Below are 23327 nucleotides of genomic sequence, written 5' to 3'. Positions count from 1 at the left end.
TTTTATGAGAGTTTTTTATTTAAAATCTATTTTGTCTGACATTAATATAGCCACTCCTGCTCTCTTCTGGTTACCATTTGCATGGAATATCTTTTTCCAGACTTTTCAATCTATGTGTCCTTAGAGCTAAAGTGAGTCTCTTGTAGACAGCATATAGTTGGATCCTTTTTTAACTCCAGTCAATATATGACTTTACATTTAAAGTTAATTACTGGCCCAGCATGGTGGCTCCTGCCTGTAATTCCAACACTTTGGCAGGCCAAGACAAGAAGATCACTTGAGGCCAGGAGTTAGAAACCAGCCTGGGCAACATAGGGAAGAACCCATTTCTCTCTCTCTCATTTTTTTTTTTTTTTTAGACGGTGTCTCACTGGTGTTGTCCAGGCTGGAGTGCAGTGGCGCGATCTTGGCTCAATGCAAGCTCTGCCTCCCGGGTTCACACCATTCTCCTGCCTCAGCCTCCCAAGTAGCTGGGACTACAGGTGCCTGCCACTGCACCTGGCTAATTTTTTGTATTTTTAGTAGAGATGGGGTTTCATGTTAGCCAGGATGGTGTCAATCTCCTGACCTTATGATCCGTGTGCCTTGGCCTCCCAAAGTGCGGGGATTACAGGTGTGAGCCACTGCACCCGGCCAGGGAAGACCCTATTTCTCCAAAAAATATATATATATTTTTAATTAGCCAGATGTTGTGGCATGCACCCATAGTCCCAGCTACCCAGGAGGCTGAGGCAGGAGGATTGCTTGAGCCCAGGAGGTCGAGGCTGCACTGAACCATGATAGTGCCACTGCACTGTAGCCTGGGTAACAGCGTGCGAGCCTATCTAAAACAAAACATAGGCTACCAATAGGGAGGGAAGGATTTACTATTGCCATTTTGTTAATTGTTTTTGGTATATTTTGTAGCTTTTTTGTCCCTTCTTTTTTACTGCCTTTTTCGTGTTTTGTTGATTTTTTTTGTAGCGATGTATGTTGATTCTCTTCTCATTTCCTATTATATATATTCTATAGATACTTTATTTGTGTTTATTGTTGTGATTGCATAAATCATCTTTAAAGTTACAGCATTCTGTTTTAAATTGTTAAAAACTTCATTCACATACAGAAAACTACTTCTTTGGAGTTTCTGCTGGTAAATCTGGGAATGGAAACTCCCTTGTATGTGATGAATCGATTTTCTTTTGCTGCTTTGAATATGTTCTCTGCCTTTGACTTTAGATAATTTAATTATAATGTGTCTTTATGATCCTCTCTAGATTTATCCTTGTTGAAGTCCTTTGAGGTTCTTTAATGTGCATATCCATTTATCTCCTTAGATTTGGGAAGCTTGCAGCTGTTATTTCTTCAAAGAAGCTCTCTGCCACTTTGTCTCTCCCTCTTCTGAGTTTTCATAATGTGCATTTCAGAATGTGTTGTCCTGATCGTGCCCTATAAGTTCTTTATGTGCTCTTTGCCAATCTGTTTCCTTTTTGCTCCTGTGACTCTACTTTTTTTTTTTTGAGACAGAGTCTCGCTCTGTTGCCAGGCTGGAGTGTAGTGGCACGATCTTGGCTCACTGCAACCTCCGCCTCCTGGGTTCAAGTGATCCTCCTGCCTCAGCCTCCTGAGTAGCTGGGACTACAGGTGCTCACCACCATGCCCAGCTAATTTTTGTATTTTTAGTAGAAACGGGGTTTCACCATTTTGGCCAGGATGGTCTCAACCTCTTGACCTCGTGATCCACCTGCCTCGGCCTCCTAAAGTGCTAGATTACAGGTGTGAGCCACTGCACCCGGCTGACTCTACTTTCTTTTGCCTGATTAAACCTGCTATTGAACCCCTCTAATAAATTTTTCAGTTCAGTTATTGAATTTTTCAAGGTCCAGAATTTCTGTTTGGATCTTTTTCATTGTTTATCTTTTTGGTCATGGATTGTTTTCTTCATTTCATTTAGTTTTGTATCTGTGTTCTAGCTCATTGAGCATCTATAACAGTTATTTTAAATTCTTTGTCAGGCAGCTCACAGATCTGCATTTCTTTAGGGCCTGTTTCTGGAGTTATATTTTATTCCTTTAATTCAGCCATATTGCCCTGTTTATTTGTATGCCTTATAATCTCTTGCTGGGCTTTAAGCACTTAAAACAAACAACCATCTGTCCAAGTCTTTGTCTAGTGACTTTGCAGAGGAAGACCTTTACCAATTATCCTGGTTGTTGTTTCCAGGATCTCTCAACCTTTTTCTGACCTCTTGCTCCCCCTGATGTCTGCCTATGGAACTTCAGTGCTAACATCCTGCTCTCCTCTGTTTTCAGTGTCTTCTGTACTCTGGAACCTGTCCAGTCAGTATTCTGAGTCATATGAGATAGAAATCAGTCTCTCAGGAAGCCCCAGACAAGCCAGAATGTTGGACACACGGTCAACTCTTTTGTTTCTGTCCAAGGAGTAGACCCAGTATGGGGGGGGTTTCCTCCAACTTGCTCTGTGCTATGCTACATAGGAAGAAGGACATGAAAGGACATGCCAAACACTGAAATTTCCTAACCCTTTTGCTGTAATCTCCTTTTGGTTTTACAGTGGCCTGGTGCTGTAGCTTCTCAGCTCTTCTTCAGAGCTCTCACAAAGGTATTCTGGTCCATATATTGTTGTTAACACACTAAACACACTCTTGCTCTCTTGACTTTGCTCATATTGTTCCTCTCTAGGAAGGGCCTCCACACTGCCTCTCACTCATTCATTTGTTCAGTAAATAATCTGAATATCTATTTGGCCATATTGTTGGCTCTGGAAATATAGTGAAAAATGCACAGTACCTGACTTCTCTGTGTCTCTGTTGGGGAAGGATCTGTTGCTTTCTAGTCTACCATCTTGTTGATATCACTCCTCTAATGATTTTCATTTTATTTTTATTATTTTTTTCAGACAGAGTCTCACTCTGTCACCCAGGCTGGAGTGCAGTGGCGCGATCTTGGCTCACTGCAACCTCCACCTCCCGGGTTCAAGTGCTTCTCCTGCCTCAGCCTCCCAAGTAGCTGGGATTAACAGGTGCAGGCTACCATGCCTGGATGATTTTTGTATTTTTAGTAAAGGAGGGGTTTCACCATGTTGGTCCAGCTGCTCTCGACCTCCTGACCTCAAGTGATCCACCTGCCTTGGCCTCCCAAAGTGCTGGGATTACAGGTGTGAGCCACCGTGCCTGGCCATGATTTTTATTTTTAAAGCATTTTATTAAGCATTGGAGATATGAGGAAATGGTAGCTGCCCTGAAATAACTTACCTTTTGGCTGCGAAGACAAGATTTATAAATTAAAACTATCAATATTTGGTAGACTATAATAAGTGAGGGGTTTATGCCATAATCCCCAAAGAAACAATCCTGCATGTTAAAATCTCAAAAGATCAAAATCCCCTAAAGTCTAAAATCCCCAAAATCACAATCTTGAAAGATAAAAATCCTGAAAATGTAGTTCTGGAAAAAAAAAATATTTAAAAAATTATTTAAAGGACATTTACTTACTTTTTGTTTATTTTATTTTTAGAGACAGGGTCTCACTGTGTTGCCCAGGCTGGAATGCAGTGGCTATTCTCAGGTGTGATCATAATGCACTACAGCCCCAAACTCCTGGGCTCAAATGAGCCTCCTGACTCTGCCTCCCAAGTAGCTGGGACTACAGGCACATACCACCATGCCCAGCTTATTTACCTTTTTTTTTTTGAGATGGAGTTTTGCTCTTGTTGCCCAGGCTGGAGTGCAATGGCGCCATCTCAGCTTACCACAACCTCCGCCTCCTGGGTTCAAGCGATTCTCCTGCCTCAGCCTCCCGAGTAGCCACAGGTGTGCGCCACCATACCCGGCTAATTTTATATTTTTAGTAGAGACAGGGTTTGTCAGGCTGGTCTCAAACTGCGACCTGAGGTGATCTGCCTGCCTCGGCCTCCCAAAGTGCTGGGAGTACATGGGTGAGCCACCACACCTGGCCTATTTACATTTTTTAAAGGAATTTATTTGAGAAACATGTAAAAACGTAACAGAAAGCCTGTGCGCGGTGGCTCACACCTCTTATCCCAGCACTTTGGGAGGCTGAGGCGGGTGGATCATTTGAGGTCAGGAGTTCGAGACCAGCCTGACCAACATGGTGAAACAGCGTCTCTACTAAAAATACAAAAATTAGCCGGGCGTAGTGGCGTGTGCCTGTAATCCCAGCTACTCAGGAGGCTGAGGCAGGAGAATCGCTTGAACCTGGGAGGCAGAGGTTGCAGTGAGCCGAGATTGTGCCATTGCACTCCAGCTTGGGCGACAGAGTGAGACTCCATCTCAAAACACAAAACAAAACCAAAACAAACAAAAAACCCCAGAAATCTTCATAAGCTACTTTACGCAATAAAATAGGTAATATTTTTGCAAGCATAAACCCACTCACGTATATTAACAGTAGTTATACAGATACAGCGGTTATGAGCAGATGAACCATAATTCATAAAGAAATAGGTCAAAAAATGAAATGTATAAATGGATATCACTGTAGTTGGTAATTGTGTGTACCCAGCTTTATAACTGTGGTCTTCTGGAATACCATGATGGATAACGCAAGTCTTTTGATGAAATTGATCAAAACCATCATTGGCCGGGTGCGGTGGCTCACGCCTGTAATTCCAGCACTTTGGGAGGCCAAGACAGGCGGATCATGAGGTCAGGAGTTTGAGACCAGCCTGGCCAACAGAGTGAAACCCCATCTCTACTAAAAATACAAAAAACTAGCCGAGCATGGTGGCGGACGCCTGTAATCCCAGCTACTGGGGAGACTGAAGAGAATCGCTTGAACCTGGGAGGCAGAGGTTGCAGTGAGCTGAGATGGTGCCCCTCACTCCAGCCCGGGCGACAGTAGGAGACTCTGTCTCAAAGAAAGAAAAAAAAAAAGAAAGAAACTGCAACATACGCAGTTGCCTAAAGAGAAAAACAAATTTTTAAACAATCATTTAGAAAATTGTTTGCTTATTTATTTTTTATTTATTTTGAGACAGAGTCTCGCTCTGTTGCCCAGGCTGGAGTGCAGTGGCACAATCTCGGCTCCCCATAACCTCCGCCTCCTGAGTTTAAGCGGTTCTTGTGCTTCAGTCTCCTAAGAAGCTGAGACTACATGGGCACACCACCATGCCTGGCTGATTTTTTGTATTTATTTATTTATTTTTTGAGATGGATTTTCGCTCTTGTTGCCCAGGCTGGAGGGCAATGGTGCAATCTTGGCTCACTGCCACCTCCACCTCCTGGGTTCAAGCAATTCCCCTGCCTCAGCCTCCTGAGTAACTGGGATTACACGCACCCGCCACCAGGCATGGCTAATTTTTGTATTTTTAGTAGAGACCGGGTTTCACTATGTTGGCCAGGCTGGTCTTGAACTCCTGACCTCAGGTGATCTGCCCGCCGCAGCTTCCCAAAGTGCTGAGATTACAGGCATGAGCCACCACACCCGGCCGATTTTTTGTATTTTTATTAGAGACAGGGTTTTGCCATGTTGCCCAGGCTTGTCTGGAACTCCTGAGCTCAGGAACTCCGCCCGCCTTAGCCTCCCATACTGCTAGGATTACAGGTGTGAGCCACAGCACTCAGCCTATTTCTTTTAAAGATACTGTTTTGCTTTGTTACCCCGGTTGGGCCTGAACTCCTGGGCTCAAACGATCCTCCCAGCTCAGCCTCCCAAGTGGTTGAGACTACAGGCACGTGACATTGCACCCAGCTGAAAAATTCTATGTTCCACAAATGCAGATATACAAAAAGACATCTCTTCATTTATTGAGGAAGTTTCGACCTTTTTTTCCGACATACGCAATGCTTATACACAAAGCCAACGTGATGATGCACTTTTTTGGAGTCATATTTACAAAATACGTAAAACAAATTATAACTCCGTAAAAGTATATAATTTAATTTATACTTTTAGTACTGGAAATGATGCAAAGATGAAATATGTAGCACAGTGAATTGTAAAAAATAGTGCTAGCAAAGTTACTGACTGGTTCGAAAGTAATTAATGTGCATGGTAGGATAAGAAGACACATACTTAGCCAGGCGTGGTGGCCTACGCCTGTAGCCCCAGCTACTCAGGAGGCTGAGGCAGGAGAATCACTTGAACCCAAGAGGTGGAGGTTGCAGTGAGCCAAGATGGCTGGGTGCAGTGGCACATACCTGTAGTTCTAGCTGGTTGAGACAGAGGCAGAAGGATCAGTTGAACCCAGGAGTTTGAGGCTGTAATACACTATGCTTGTGTCTGTGAATAGCCACTGCACTGTGGCTTGGGCAACACAGCAAGACTCCATCATATATATATAACATATTCATGTATATATAGTATTTATATATAATATATAGTTTTCATATATATAGTATTTATATATGTGAATAAGCTGACTAAATAGTGGAATAAAAAACTTAAGAAAAAACACAAAAACTAAAAATCAAATTTAACTTATGAAAAATGTATTACAGGAATAAATTCTGGGCAGTTAGTTGCACAGAGGTTGTCCATAAGACCTGGCTGACTTTTGCAGTAATTTAACTGTATTTTGAAGTCTTACCTCATAATTAATAGCTGTGATTAAAATGAAAAATAGGTTTTTTTTCTTTTAGGGCATGGCTCTCCTTGTAGAATACATTCACATTTGACATATACTGACATGATATACACAGACATGAGCATTTCCTATTAAATTTGCCCATCTTTTGTGCCATACTTCTATGTTGTTTTGGGTACATAGAAATCCATTCCACGTGAAATCATATACAGACCACAGGTTTGGCACAAATAATACTGGTGATTGAACAGCAACACCATTGTGTATGTGTTTTTTTGTTTTGTTTTGTTTTTGAGACAGAGTCTTACTCTGTCACCCAGGCTGGAGTGCAGTGGCATGATCTCGGCTCACTGCAACCTCCACCTCCTGGGTTCAAGTGATTCTCCTGCCTCAGCCTCCCAAGTAGCTGGGACTATAGGTGTGAGCCACCACACCCAGCTAAGTATGTGTCTTCTTATCCTACCATGCACATAATTATTTTTGAACCAGTCAGTAATTTTGCTAGTTTTTTAAGGCAAATGTGGCTTTAATTCATTAAAAGCTCCTGGAATTTCATCAGCTGGAAGGAATGCCAGTGCAAACAAGTGATGCATTTTTATTTTATTATTAGAGACACGGTCTTGCTCTGTCACCCAGGCTGGAGTGCAGTGACACAATCTCAGCTCATGGCAACCTCTGCCTCCCAGGTTCAAGTGATTTTCCTGCCTCAGCCTCCTGAGTAGCTGGGATTACAGGCGGGCGCCACCACACCCGGCTAATTTTTGTATTTGTGGTAGAGACAGGGTTTTGCCATGTTGGCCAGGCTGGTCTTGAACTCCTGACCTCAGGTAATCCACCCCCTTTGGCCTCCTGAAGTGCTGGGATTACAGGAGTGAGCCACTGCGCCCGGCCAAATGATGCATTTTTAAACGGAACTGTGCGTTGTTGTTGTATCATGTGACTAATCTACTCATCTGAATTTTCTGCCAAATGCAAATAAAAATAGGATGGGAATAGGTCCACCTAAGATGATACAAGTAACATGCTACAGCTACCCTGCTTACAATAAAAAATGAACTTCCCCAGAATTCAGCTTTCAGGATTTCAACATGCTGAATTTTAATCTTCCAGGATTGTGATTTTCAGGATTTAGATATTAGGGATTTTTAGACTTTAGAGATTTTGATCTTTCAGGATTATGGCATTTGAGATTGTGTTTTTAGGGATTATGATTAGCACTGGTGTGTGAGCAACCTATAATGCAATGAAAGCTCAGAGTAGGACTTCACAAGTAGATGGGCCTTCAACCTAGAATCGAAGAAAGAATAAGCTTCTCTGGATGGTAAGCTCCTTGAAGGCAGGGACTGTGTCTTTTTTTTTAACTATAATATTTCTAGGGCCCACAGAATGCCTAATAGATATCCAAATTATTTTCTGAACAAATGGATAAGCAGAAGGGAAGTACAAGAGACCCTTCTGGGTTGCGGGGATAGTATGAACAAAGGTGAGAAGGCAAGAGTGTGGTTAGTTTGGGAGACAGACAATGAGTAATTTAGTTTGTCTACATTGCAAGGAGCCTATGGGGCCTATGGGAAATACTCAGAAATAGTTGGAGAGGATGACAGGGGCCAGATAGTAAAAAGGTTTTTTTTTGTTTTTTGTTTTTTTTTTTGAAACAAGGTCTACAAGGATCTTGCTCTGTCACCCAGGCTGGAGCGCAGTGGCAAAATCATAGCTCACTCCAACCTCGACCTCCTTGGCTCAAACAGTCATCCTGCATAGCTAGGACTACAGGTATGCACCACTCTGCCAGGCCAATATTTAATTTTTTTTCCAGACTTCATAGTAGCAGAATTTTATTTAATTAAAAATGTTTTTTAAAAATTAGACATTACAAATTCAGAACCCACTATTTCAATTAACTGAAGAAAAATAGGAGGTTGGGCTAAGACTTTGACAAATTATATTATAAATCCATCCACAGTGTTATAAAATGAAAAGAACAAAAATAGCAATAGTTTATACAGGTCTTTAAAAAAGCAAGTTTAGAAAAAGACCAGATTAAGTCAAGCCTAACCCTGTAAATTATAAAAGAAAGAACCTTGAGATTCATCCAGTTGCTCACTTCCTCCTCTCTTTCCCATTTCCGTGGAGTCAGCCACTACTGTTGGTTCTTCAAAACTCCTTTTATGTGCCAACTTCTCTAAGAGAACTTCACTGACCCAAGGTCTCAATAAATACCATTATTGTGTTCTTCCAAAATCTCTATTATAGCACTTCTTATTTTTTTAATTTTCTTTTTTTTTTTTTTTTGAGACGGAGTTTTGCTCGGTCGCCCAGGCTGGAGTGCAGTGGTGTAATCTCGGCTCACTGCAAGCTCCGCCTCCCGGGTTGACGCCATTCTCCTGCCTCAGCCTCCCGAGTAGCTGGGATTACAGGCGCCCACCACCATGCACGGCTAATTTTTTGTATTTTTAGTAGAGACAGGGTTTCACCGTGTTAGCCAGGATAGTCTTGTTCTCCTGACCTCACGATCCGCCCACCTCGGCCTCCCAAAGTGCTGGGATTACAGGCATGAGCCACCGTGCCCGGCCTATTTTTTTTTTAAATGTTAATAATCAATTCATTATACTGATATTTACATTATGGTATTTGCTGAGACAAACTACAGAAGGTATTGCAGAGTTCTCTTTTATTTTATTTCAATAGTTTTTGGGAACATGATTTTTGGTTACATGGATAAGTTCTTTAGTGGCAATTTCTGAGATTTTGGTGCACCCATCACCTAAGCAGTATTCACTGTACCTACTGTGTATTCTTTTATCCCTTACCCCCTCCCACCCTAACCCCCAAGCCCCCCAAATCCATTATATCATTCCTATGTCTTTGCATCCTCACAGCTTAGCTCCCACTTATGAGAACATACAATATTTGGTTTTCCATTCCTGAGTTACTTCACTTAGAGTAATCGTCTCCACCTCCACCCAGGTTGCTGCAAATGCCATTATTTCATTCCTTTTTATGACTGAGTAGTAGTCCATGGTATATATATTCCACATTTTCTTTATCCACTCGTTGGTTGATAGGCATTTTTGTTTCATTTATCTTTTGTATTTTTTTTTGTTTCAATTTATTTTAGGTCTGTTCTGATCTTCGTTACTCTTTTCTTCTGCTGTGTTTGGGTTTGGTTTGTTATTTCTCTAGTTCCTTGAGGTGTGGCCTTAGATTGTCTATTTATGCTCTTGCAGACTTTTTTTTTTTTTTTTTTTTTTTTTTTTTTTTGAGACAAGGCCTGGCTCTATTGTCCAGACTGGAGCGCAGTGGCACAATCTTGCTCATTGCAACCTCCGCCTCCTGGGCTCAAGCTATCTTCCCACCTCAGCCTCCCAAGTGGCTGGGACTACAGGCATATGCCACCACACCCAGCTAATTTTTGTATTTTTTGTAGAGACAGGGTTTGCCATGTTGCCCAGGCTGGTCTCACACTCCTAAGCTCAAGCAATCCACCTGTCTCAGCCTTCCAAAGTACTAGGATTATAGGCATGAACCACCACACCAGGACTCTTTCAGACTTTTTGATGTAGACATTAAATGCTATGAACTTTTCTCTTAGCACCACTTTTGCTATGTCCCAGGGGTTTAATAGATTGTGTCACTATTATCGTTTAGTTCCAAGAATTTTTTAAATTTCCATCTTGATTTCATTGTTGACCCAAAGATTATTCAAGACCAGATTATTTAATGTCCATAGTTTCGAGCGTTCCTTTTGGAGTTAATTTCCAGTTTTATTCCACTGTGGTCTGAGAGGATACTTGATATAATTTTCATTTTCCTAAATTTATTGAGACTTGTTTTGTGACCTATATGTGGTCTATCTTGGAGAATGTTCCATGTGCTGATAAAAGAATGTATATTCTGCAGTGGTTTGGATCCATTGTTGGGGAGCTAGTGTGGTCTTTTGAGGGTGTTATAGAACCTAGTTTTGTCATATTAGCAAAATTACTTTTCTGATTCCTTCTCATTTGGGTAGACTATTTCAGTGGAAAAATCTGGAACTCAAAGCCTGATGTTCAGATTTATTTATACCACAGAGTGATCCCTTGATGTGGTGCTCTCCCCCTTCCCCTAGGGATAGGGCTTCCTTAGAGCTGGACTGCAGTGATAATTACTGCTCTTTTGGGTCTAGCTACCCAGTGGAGCTACCAGGCCCTGGGCTGGTTCTGGGGAATATCTGCAAAGAGTCCTGTGATAGATTCCTCTTCAGGTCTCCCAGCCATGGATAATAGCACCTGCTCTGGTGGAGGTGACAAGGGAGTGAAGTACACTCTGTGAGAGTCCTTGGTTGCAGATATGTTTGGTGGGCTGGCTCTCTCAAATGCTGGTTATGCTAGCAGTGAAACTGTCATGTGGATAGACGCAGGACCTCTGGTTAGCCAGGATGTTGCAGGCAGTGGAATTACCCAGTCTGCCATTGATGGGCATTTAGATTGGTTCTATGTCTTTACTATTGTGATTATTGCTGCAGTGAACATATGCATGCATGTGTCTTTATGGTAGAGTGATTTATATTCCTTTGGGTATATAACCAATAATGGGATTGCTGGGTTAAATAGTAGTTCTGTTTTAAGTTCTTTGAGAAATCACCAAACTGCTTTCCACAGTAGCTGAACTAATTTACATTCCCACTAGTATTGTATAAGTGGTCCCTTTTCTCCACATCTTTGCCATCATCTGTGATGTTTTTGACTTTTAAATAATAGCATTCTAACTGCTGTGAGATGGTATCTCATTGTGGTTATTTGCATTGCTCTAATGATTAGTGATGCTGAGCATTCTTTTCATATGCTTGTTGGCCACCATATGTCTTCTTTTGAAAAATGTATGTTCATGTCCTTTGCCCACTTTCTAATGGGGCTGTTTGTTTTTTGCTTGTTAATTTAAGTTCCTTATAGCTTCTGGATATTAGACCTTTGACAGATGCATAGCTTGCAAATATTTTCTCCCATTCTGTGGGTTGTCTGTTCACTCTGCTGATAGGTTTTGTTGTTGTTGTTGTTCTTTGCTATGCTCTTTAATTAGGTGCCATTTGTCAATTTTTGCTTTTGCTGCAATTGCTTTTGGGGTCTTCGTCGTGAAATCTTTGCCAGGGCCTGTGTCCAGAATGGTATTTCCTAGGTTTTCTAGAGGTTTTATAGTTTTAGGTTTTACTTTTAAGTCTTTAACCCATGTTGAGTTGATTCTTGTAGATGGTGTAAGGAAGAAGTCCAGCTTCAATCTTCTGCATATGGCTTGCCAGTTATTCCGGTGCCATTTATTGAATAGGGAGCCCTTTCCCCATTGCTTTTGTCGACTTTGTTGAGTATCAGATGGTTGTAGGTGTACGTTTTTATTTCTGAGCTCTCTATTCTGTTCCATTGGACTGTGTGTCTGTTTTTATATCAGTACCATGCTGTTCTGGTGACTGTAGCCTTAAAGTATAGTTTGAAGTTGGGTAACAGTGATGCCTCCAGCTTTGTTCTTTTGCTTATGATTGCGTTGGCTATTCAGGCTCTTTTTTGGTTCCATATGAATTTTAGAATAGTTTTTTTCTAATTCTGAGAAGAATGTCATTGGTAGTTTGATAGGGATAGCACTGAATCTGTAGATTGCTTTGGGCAGTATGACCATTTAAACAATATTGATTCTTCTTATCCATGAGCATAGAGTATTTTTCCATTTGTGTCATCTCTGATTTCTTTGAGCAGTGTTGTAATTCTCGCTGTAGAGATCTTTCACCTCCCTGATTAGCTGTATTCCTAGGTATTTTGTTTGTGTGTGTGTGTGTGTGTGCGTGTGTGTGTCTGTTCTGAATGAGATCATACTCTTCATTTGGCACTCAGTTTGGATACTGTTGGTGTATAGAAATGCTACTGATATTTGTACATTGATTTTGCACCCTGAAACTTTACTGAAGTTGTTTATAAGATCTAGGATCTTTTGGCCAGATACTATGGGGTTTTCTAGGTATAAAATTATTTTGTATTTTGTATTTTTATTTATCGATTTACTTTTTCTTATGCTACCTTGTCCAAGATCTAGTTATAACATTATATCATCTGCAAATATAGTTTGACTTCTTCTCTTCCTATTTGGATGCCTTTTACTTCTTTTTCTTGCCTGATTGTTCTGGTTAGGAATTCCAGTACTACGCTGAGTAGGAGCCGTGAGAGTGAGCATTCTTATCTTGTTCCAGTTCTCAGGTAGAATGCTTCTAACTTTTACCCATACCGTATGATGTTGGCTGTGGGTTTGTCATAGATGGCTGTTATTATTTTGAGATACGTTCTTTCAGTGCCTAGTTTGTTGAGGATTTTCAACATGAAGCAATGTTGAATTTTATCAGAAGTCTTTTCTGCATCTATGGAGATGATCATGTGGTTTTTATTTTTAGTTTTCTTTATGTGGTCAGGGTGTCCTATTTCAGAGCCTTTGGGTACTGCTTTGTGAAGAAAGACCTAGTGTTCTCTATGAGCCAAAAAACCCCCTTCTTTTTCAACTCCCTTCCAGCTTACTCTACCTATGTCTGTTAACTGTTTTCTTACTCAATTTGTATTGTATTTATTTATTTTGTATACAGAGTGTCACTCTGTCACCCAGGCTGGAGTGCAGTGGTATGATCATAACTCACAACAGCCTGGAACTCCTGGGCTCAAGTGCTCCTCTCACCTCAGCCTCCTGAGTAGCTAGGACTACAGGCACACATTACCATGCCCAGCTAATTTTTTTATTTTTTATTTTTGTAGAGATGGTCTCACCATCTTCCTCAGGCTGATCTTGAACTTCTGGACTCAAGCAATCCTCCCACCTTGACCTCCCAAAGTGCTAGGATTACAGGCATGAGCTACTGTGCCCAGCCAATTTATATCATTTCATAAATTTTACTTTACCTACCTTTTGTTAGCTTGGATTTTCTGGTGTTTTTTTTTCTGTTTTTTTTTTTAGAGTCTCACTCTGTCACCAGGCTGGAGTGCAGTGGCGCAATCTTGGCTCACTGCAACCTCCGCCTCTTGGGTTCAAGTGATTCTCCTGCATCAGCCTCCCAAGTAGCTGGGACTACAGGTGCCTGCCAACATGCCTGGCTAATTTTTTGTATTTTTTTGTAGAGACGGGGTTTCACCATGTTGGCCAGGATGGTCTTGATCTCTTGACCTCGTGATCCACCCACCTCGGCCTCCCAAAGTGCTGGGATTACAGGCGTGAGCCACTGCACCCGGCCAGATTTTCCAGTTCTTAAAATAACAGTTGTGTTTACTTCCCAATTCCTTCCATTTTCCATACTTGACTAACCTAGCAAATCTAAATTGCAATTAAATTGGCTTTCATGACTGCATTTCAGAATCTTGTAATGGAAATGTTAATGGCATGAGCATTCGTTTAAGTTGGCTAAAGACTCCTTTGCATGCTAAATGTGCGTTTGTCATCCTTCCATCTCATCCACCCATCCAAAAGTCATTATTAAGTCTTTTCCCCTCTGGGATATACCAAGCAAATATAAGACACAGCACCCAGTGGTAAGCAAGCTGTGTTCTCTAACCTAATGATTGCCCCTTTGATGGTGGGTAGAGACCCAGATTGAAGACTAGTGGTGGTTTGGGCTTAGAGTGATTCATCTCCTTAAGAATCATCAGTCTTCTTTCCTTATTACCATCTCTCCACTTCTACTCTTAACATTATTTTTTTCTTTCCTATTTCTTGAATACAATCATATATTATAAAAACTGAAGATAGGCAGTACTGAGCTGGAACCTTGACTCAGCTATTTTCTATGTGAGTGTTCTTGAGAATACTTACTGTATTAGTCCATTCTCACATTGCTATAAAGAAATACCTGAGACTGGGTAATTTACAAAGAAAAGAGGTTTAATCAGCTCATGATTCTGCAGGAAGCATAGTGGCATCTGCTTCTGGGGAGGCCTCAGGAAACTACAATCATGGCGGAAGGTGAAGGGGAAGCAGGCACATCTTACATGGCTGGAGCAGGAGCAAAATAGAGAATGTTGAGGTGCTACACACTTTTAAACAACTGGATCTCGTGAGAACACACTATCACAAGAACAGCTTCAAGAGGATGGTGCCAAATCATTCATGAGAAATTGCCCCCTTGATCCAGTCACCTCCCACCAGGCCCCACCTCCAACACTGGGGATTACAATTCAACATGAGATTTGGTGGGGACACAGATCCAAACCATATCATTTACCCTCTCTGATATTCAAGATCCTCATATATAAAATCGGGATAATAGTGTCTGGGCATTTTAGGACTAGAGAAGATATGAAAAATACCTGATACTTGATGTTCTTTACTAATTTTTATTGCTGTTATTATTGTATAATCATTGTTTCCATTTTCTCAACAGCATGAGAGACTTTTTAGATAGTGCTCAGTGCTCGATGTTATGATAGAGTGAGGTAAAGTATGGGTATCATAGGAATGGAATTGGTAGTTATTAACTAGAGAATCATAGGTCAGACATCTCAAGGACATCAGAGACCCAAGAATGCCCCATACTGCAGAAGAACTCATGAGAACTTTAAATAGGACAAATTTCCTTTAGTTGCCTACTTTGATTTCTTCCTAGTGATGGGCGTGCATGTTTCAATGTTCTTAGCTATTCAAATATGTGTACAGGTGAAAGCTTTGTTTAAAGTTTTAAACAAAGTGGACCCACTTAATATACTCAACATGTTTTCTAGTTTTGTGCTCACTTTACCAACATTGGAAGTGTTTTGCCAAAAGGGCAGAATTCAGCAACAGCTTCGTAGATAAACTGCCAAGACAGATTTGAAATCACATGCTGAATAGTGTGGACTAGGTTAATAAATAGGGTTTTCCAAATGTACTATCACCCCAAACCTCATCATTTGGCCCTTTCTAGGGTCCAGAAATCTTGCTACTACTTCTTACATTTCAGAAATCTTACACACATGCTGTGATAATCTTGTCCACCTTTGCCTTATTTTAACCTATATTTTTACCCATACCAATAAGAACTACTGAGAGAGAAGGTTTGGTATAGTTATTTTACATGGATTTATTTGCACTATTTGAATTTCAAATTAGAATCACTTTTCTAAAATCTTTCAAAAATTGTTCGAGTATGGAAGAAGTTATTGGAGTAGCGTTTCCTGTCAGTGCTTAAATACTTTATTATTATAATTCTGAAATTATTTCTACTGAGAATTAATGAGAAAACATTTACTGAGAAGCAAAAGAATAAAAGAAATATTTGATTATATTTATTCTTAGTGAGTTTTTTCTAGCTGCTATTGAAGACTATATGAATCTGAACAGTATGAGGAAACTATAGAACTACAGAAATACTGTGTCAAGGCCGGGCGTGGTGGCTCACACCTGTAATCCCAGCATTTTGGGAGGCCGAGGCGGGCGGATCATGAGGTCAGGAGATCGAGACCATCCTGGCTAACACGGTGAAACCCCATCTCTACTAAAAATACAAAAAATTCGCCGGGCATGGTGGCGGGCACCTGTAGTCCCAGCTACTCGGGAGGCTGAGGCAGGAGAATGGTGTAAACCTGGGAGGTGGAGGTTGCAGTGAGCCGGGGACGCGCCACTGCACTCCAGCCTGGGCAACAATGCGAGACTCTGTCTCAAAAAAAAAAAAAAGAAAAAAGAAAGAAAGAAAAAAAGAAATACTGTGTCAATAGAAATACCAAGTTTTAACAAGCACAAAGCCAAGAAAATCAGTGATGCTAGATACTGAATTTCTATGGCACTGATCTTTGGACACCCAGCAGGAATAAACTACTGAGTGCAGATACCATGGCAATGCAATTAAATTATTCTAGTGTTTTAAGATTTAAGACATCCAATTAGTCAATCATTTTAGTTAGTTGATATTTTTGTAATGTTGCCTAATCTTGTTTTGGCTGATTTCTACACCTAAAGCATAGTGTTTGGTATATTGTAGGCGAGTGCTCAGAAAATTTTTTTTTGACTAATTTCTAGTGATAAAGTGCTTGCCAAAAATACCCTTTCATGGACGCTGGTATCCTTGAACAACCCAGTCCTCATAATAACACCAGGTTTCTAGTTGGAAAAAAACACGTTTAAGTATGTCATATTTTTGGGAGCCATTAAAAATGGCATCCTTACCGTGCTTGTTTTTTCTCTTTGCAAGCAACACACCATGTGTGTGAGCTGTTTATTGAAAGCCAAGTCTTTTTAAACATTTGACTTTTTTGCCTGCACATACCCAATTTTGTTTATACTAGGACTTAGGCATTTGCCAGTACATACATATGTAGCTAGGAAAGCATGATAGTCTTACATAGTGCCCTGTAAAGGAGCTAGAACTGGGAGAGAATAGGTTAAATGAGCTATCATCACAGAATTTCAGAAGATAATTGTCTCTGTTCAGTTAATTTATCAAAGGGAAGCAGCTCCACCTAGAATTACAAATCAAGACTATCAGGTAACATGAGTAAAAGATGCCCAGGAAAGATTTGGGGTCAAGTTCTTAGTTCTTTATATCAAGAGCCTTGTGCAGGGGGTGAATGGTAAAAAAAAAACAGTACAGACTTTGCCTTAAGGAGTTTGGACTATGGTTAGTAAACCAGATAAAACAATTGAGGACTGTGAACAATGAGGTGTTCTTTGAGGGAGAGATTCACTGGGTAGTAGAATGGTCAGGAAAAGCCTTTAAAAAAGGACAGGACCTAAGCTGGCTTTTGAGGGTTAGTACAGAAGAGGAAGGATAGCATCTCAAGGAATTGACTGTTCTTGGGACGTCTGAAGAAATAGTGAGTAGACCAGTCCATCTGGTTGTTTGGACACAAAGAAAGGGTGGGAGATAATATGAGAAGCTTGTTTGGGGTCAGATTGTATGTGATACTTTTGAAGGTCTGTCTGAGGAACTTGGACTTTATCATACAGACAGCCCATTAAAAGCGGAGGTTATGGGTTGTTGTGGTGGTGGTTTTAATTTTAGTTTGGAGTAATGTTTAATGTGCAGTATGGATTTAGAAGCTCAAGAGAGTTAGTGGTGAAGAAAAATGATTAGTTTATTTCAAAAATGGTAGCTCTACTTTTTTTTTTTTTTTTTTTGAGATGGAGTTTTGCTCTTGTTGCCCAAGCTGGAGTGCAATGTTACGGTCTCGGCTCACTGCAACCTCTGCCTCCTGGGTTCAAGCAATTCTCCTGCTTCAGACTCCCGAGTAGCTGGGATTACAGGTGCGCACCACCACGCCCAGCTAATTTTTTGTATTTTTATTTATTTTTATTTTTATTTCTGTTTTGAGATGGAGTCTCGCTCTGTTGCCCAGGCTGGAGTGCAGCGGCACAATCTCGGCTCACTGCAACCTCCACCCCCTGGGTTCAAGCGATTCTCCTGCCTCAGCCTCCTGAGTAGCTGGGGTTACAGGTGCATGCCACCACGCCCGGCTAATTTTTGTATTTTTAGTAGAGACGGGGTTTCACCATGTTGGTTAGGCTGGTCTTAAACTCCTGACTTCGTGATCTGCCCGCCTCAGCCTCCCAAAGTGCTGGTATTACAGGCGTGAGCCACTGCGCCTGGCAATTTTTTGTATTTTTAGTAGAAACGGGGTTTCACCATGTTAGCCAGGCTGGTCTTGAACTCCTGACCTCAGGTGATCTGCCCACCTCTGCCTCCCAAAGTGCTGGGATTACAGGCATGAGTCACCAATCCCAGTCGATAGCTCTACCTTTTATAGTGACAATGCAGGTTATCTTGTGTGGAGGTTCCTATCAATCAGCCTGTACAGGTAGCACCAGTGTATAACAATCTCTTGGCCAGTCAGCACTGGTGCTTCGTGCTGCTTTCCTAAATTTTTTTTTTTTCTCTTGAGACGGAGTCTTGCTCTGTTGCCCAGGCTGGAGTGCAGTGGTGCGATCTTGGCTCACTGCAACCGCCACCTCCCAGGTTCAAGTGATTCTCTTGCTTCAGCCTCCTGAGTGGGATTACAGGTATGCACCACCATGCCCAGCTAATTTTTGTATTTTTAGTACAGATGGGGTTTCACCATGTTGGCCAGGCTGGTCTCGAACTGGTTAACCTCAGGTGATCCACTGGCTTGGCCTTCCAAAGTACTGAGATTACAGGTGTGAGCCACCACGCCTGGCCTGCTTTCCTAAATTTGAATTGGTTGCAAATCTGTTTTGTTTGCTCCATCATTGTCTGTCATTAACATACTATTTATTTATTTTCAAAAGTATAAACTTATATGGAATTTCTGTAGGGGTTAAAGTAGACACTAGGTTACCAAGGCATAATTTCCCAAGACTTGGAGACCTGTGATCACTGGGAGGATTTTTGGATCTTCATCTGAACTTAGCTATATTAAACATTGAAACAATCCTACAAAATGCCTAGATGAGACAGGTTTACAGGTAAGTTTTATCAGACCTTCATGGAACAGATAAACCATAGAAGAATTAAACTGTTTTAGAGAAGAGATAAAGTGGGAAAGCTGCTATCTCAGGTTTTGAGGTTAGTATAATCTTGGTACAAAACAGGGAAGGTCAGTATATTATAAGAAAATGAAAGGCTAATCTTCTAAAAATGGATTTGAAACATCTAAACAGTACTAGCAAATTGAATGTATTATTGTATTAAAAAACAAAACATCAAGACCAAATAGTTTGTTTAAATTATTATATGCAAGGATGGTTTCATATCAGAAAATACATCACTGATATCATCCAACATATTAATTTTTAAAAGGGGAAGTTCTTCTTATTTTCTTAATAGGTTCAGAAGAAAACATTATATGAACTTTAATATTTAGTCTGATTAAATTTTTTTCACAAAGCTAGAAATAAAAAACTTTCTTAACCTAAAGTTAACCAAAACTTCCTTTGGTAGACATCACACTTAACAGTAAAACTACAGACCTGTTCCCTCTCAAGTTAAGAACAGTACATGGTGCCCACTATCAGCCTTAATATTTACTAATCAACTGAACTTCCTGGTTAATTCCAGAAGACAAGAAAGAGAGGACCAAGCTGTCTATATTTGAAGACTATGTAGACATCCATAGAAAATTCAAGAGAATCCGCCAGGCGCGGTGGCTCACGCCTGTAATCTCAGCACTTTGGAAGGCTGAGGTGGGCAGATCACCTGAGGTCAGGAGTTCAAGACCAGCCTGACCAACATGGAGAAACCCCATCTCTACTAAAAATACAAAATTAGCCGGGCATTGTGTTGCATGCCTGTAATCCCAGCTACTTGGGAGGCTGAAGCAGGAGAATCGCTTGAACCCGGGAGGCGAGGTTGCAGTGAGCCAAGATCGTGCCATTGCACTCCAGCCTGGGCAACAAGCGCGAAACACCATCTTAAAAAAAAAAAAAAATTCAAGAGAATCCACAAATTATTAGAACTAATAATAATAGTTCTGCAAAGTTGCTGAGTTTCAGATCAGCAACCTTTTGATTCAACCATACAAAATTATAATTTATGTAGGTCAAAATGGTCGTTAAATATTTATTTGCAGTTTCATATGATTAAACCTAATACAGAAATCAATCACATTCCTGTCTACCAGCAATAATCATTTAGTAAATGTATACTTTTTTAAAGATTCTATTCATAGTAGCCACAAAAAAACTATAAAGTATCCAGGAAATATCTAAACAAGAAATATATATCTTGGGGAGAAAACATAATCAAAAGACCTGGATAAACAGAGAGATAGCATGTTCATGGATGGGAGGACTTCATATAATAAAGAGGTAATTTTCCCTAAATAAGTTTATAAATTCAATAAATGCCAATCAAAATTTCAAATGATTAAGGGTGAGGCTAGGAGGAAAAAATCCAGATGTATTGACAACCTAAGTGTAAACTTCAAACTTTTAGAAGAAACTGTTGGCAAGTACCTTTATTACCTTGGCATAAGAAAGGATTTCATAAACAAAAGATGAAATTATAAGATGCGTCATATGATTGTATTAACTGTAAATCTTATGTATGACAAAAGATGCCTTAAACAAAAGACAAATTGCAGACAGAGGATATTTACAACACATCTGACTGCCAGAGGCCTTGTATTCAGAATATATAAAGAACTCCAATCATTTAATATGAAAAATATAAAACAGCCTAATCAAAAAATAGGCAAAGCTTGATCTCTTGGAATATGTAATGCCTATTATTTTGTTTCTGCCAGTATTAAATATGATGTTTCTATTGATAGCACCTTCAAAGCAGCTTAGTTTTTTGAGACAGAGTCTTGCTCTGTCTCCCAGGCTGGAGTGCAGTGGTGCCATCTTGGCTTACTGCAACCTCCGCCTCCCGGGTTCAAGCAATTCTCCTGCCTCAGCCTCCCAAGTAGCTGGGACTACAGGCACATACCACCATGGCTGGCTAATTTTTTTTTTTGTATTTTTAGTAGAGATGGGGTTTCCCCATGTTGGCCAGGTTGGTCTCGATCTCCTGACCTTGTGATCTGCCCGCCTCGGCCTCCCAAAGTGCTGGGATTACAGGTGTGAGCCACCACGCCCAGCCGCAGCTTAGTTCTTATTAGTTTTGGTAAGTTCTTATGTGAGTGGTAGCTTTAGTGGTGATTATATGTTTTGTCAGCTGACAGTAGAGAAAAAATAGCCAATAGATACATGAAAGAATGTTCAATTTTACTTTAGTAATTTAGAAAATGTAAATTTAAAAAATTTTAAATTCTGAGAGTGGTCAATCAAATTTGAGTAAGCCAGCTTTGTAATTCATCTCACAGCTCAGCCATGTACCAGCAGTGCAACCTTGGAGAAGTTTCTTTACTTCTCTGAGCCTGTTTATTTTGTTTAAAATGGGGTTGAAATTATTGCCTCATTAGATTGTTGAGAAAAATAAATGACATATATTAAGTTTCAGAACAGTGCCTGGATGTAGTAAGTGTTCAATAAATGATAGCTGATTTAATTATTTGTAATGCAACTTAATTATCAAAATACCAAAAAGTATCCGGACCCAGGCAAATTTTTTTTTTTTTTTTTTTTTTGGAGACAGAGTCTTGCTGTATTGCCCCTTGCTCTATTGCCCAGGCTGGAGGGTAGTGGTGCGATCTTGGCTCACTGCAACTTCTGCCTTCTGGGTTCAAGCAATTCTCCTACCTCAGCCTCCCGAGTAGCTGGGACTACAGGCGCCCACCACCACTGCTGGCTAATTTTTGTATTTTTAGTAGAGACGGGGTTTCACCATGTTGTCCAGGCTGGTCTCAAACTCCTGACCTCAAGTGATCCATCCGCCTCGGCCTCCCAAAGTCCTGGGATTACAGGCGTGAGCCACTGTGCCCGGCCTGACTATATTCTACTTGGAGAAATCTTAAATAAATGGGGAGTAACCTACCTCTGAAAATGCCAGCTAGCTAGCTTCTTACTCAGAGCCCTCCCAGGTGGCATTACCTTGGTGAAGTCATAACTAGGGTCTAGACCTTATCTCTAAAGGTTCTCAGCCTCAAGTTTGTGAGAATAACGTATGATGCCCAGTTTCTTGGGAACTGACTTATATGATCAACATCATTGGAGTGAAGATTCATTTTCAGTGAGAAATAGAACTGTTAAGCCAACTAGTATTTGAGTTTGGTTGTTATTACATTCTCTCCCTGTAGCCGAGGTATGTGGAAAATCAATTTTGGTTTTCTGTGCAAGGAATCAGTGCAGAGGGAGTCTGCTGGATGGTTTTAGTGACTGTTGGTATCAGGCCCTTATATGATATCAACAGGCTTGAGTAGTTGTATTTTTTAGTTGGGGGACTTGCTGTCTTTAGCTGAAGGAAGAACACTGCCTAACCATTGGTCAGAGGATGCTCGCCTCTTACTGCTGACCTTCAATTTGTGGTCAGGCAGTCCTCCACAGTCCTCCACAGGAGGCTGGCAGTCCTCCACAGTCATATTCTCTTTGGCTCTGTGAGGTTGTATCTGTCACTTTGATTGGGTTTGGGGGGCCCCAGAACTCTGCAGTCACTCAAACCTCAGGGTTTTAGTATTTTTAGCAGATGGATTATTGTGTCCACTGTATTTTTTTTTTTCTAACTTCAACCTCAGAAGATAAAACCTTAATTGCTGTTTTGGAGACATTTTATATCATTGTCATGTGACAATTCCTTATTTCTTGAACCTGCTCAATGACATCATCACCTCAACAGTCCTGCTCCCACCTTCCCATTAAGGAGCAAATCATGTCTGGAACAATTCTATGGCATATTTTCTTTGTCAGCAGACTTATATATGTTGGCTTCTTAGAATTAGTAATGCATTAAATGGTCCCTTAGAGATCTATTGTTTGGTCTCTTGGAATGCGTAATATGTATTATTTTGTATTTTGCTTCTGCCAGTATTAGATAGGATGTTTCTTATTCATAGTTCCTTCAAAGCAGTTTAGTTCTTTTTTTTCTTTCTTTCTTTTGAGATGGGGTCTCACTTGCTCTGTCACCCAGGCTGGAGTGCAGTTGCGCGATCTCAGCTCACTGCAGCCTCTATGCCTCCTGGGCTCAATTGATCTTCCCACCTCAGCCTCCTGAGTAGCTGGGACTACAGGTGCATGCCACCATGCCCAGATAACTTTTTGTATTTTTTGTAGAGATGGGGTTTCACCATTTTGCCCAGGCTGGTCTCGAACTCCTGGACTCAAGTGATCCACCTGCCTCGGTCTCCCAAAGTGCCGGGATTATAGGCATGAGCCACTGCACCTGGCCCAGTTTAGTTCTTATTAGTTCTGTTAAGTTTCTGTGTGAATGGTAGGTATAGTGATGATACATATTTTGATAAGTTAATTGTAGCTAAATTAGGTGG

At 40.8% G+C, this 23327-nt stretch overlaps 1 protein-coding gene and 1 non-coding gene across 4 annotated transcripts in view; one reads left to right on the top strand and one right to left on the bottom strand.

Annotated features, from left to right (window-relative positions):
* The window catches only part of USP49 (ubiquitin specific peptidase 49), a 105480-nt gene that overhangs the window by 46164 nt on the left and 35989 nt on the right, over positions 1 to 23327 (top strand). The window lies entirely within an intron of this gene.
* LOC124900222 (small nucleolar RNA SNORA8) lies at positions 16219 to 16358 on the bottom strand. The gene has a single exon (XR_007059948.1). It is a non-coding gene; the product is annotated as a small nucleolar RNA SNORA8 (small nucleolar RNA).

The sequence above is a fragment of the Homo sapiens genome, chromosome 6 (assembly GCF_000001405.40).
Source record: "Homo sapiens chromosome 6, GRCh38.p14 Primary Assembly".
Taxonomy (NCBI): domain Eukaryota; kingdom Metazoa; phylum Chordata; class Mammalia; order Primates; family Hominidae; genus Homo; species Homo sapiens.
This window is presented reverse-complemented; position numbering and strand designations above follow the sequence as displayed.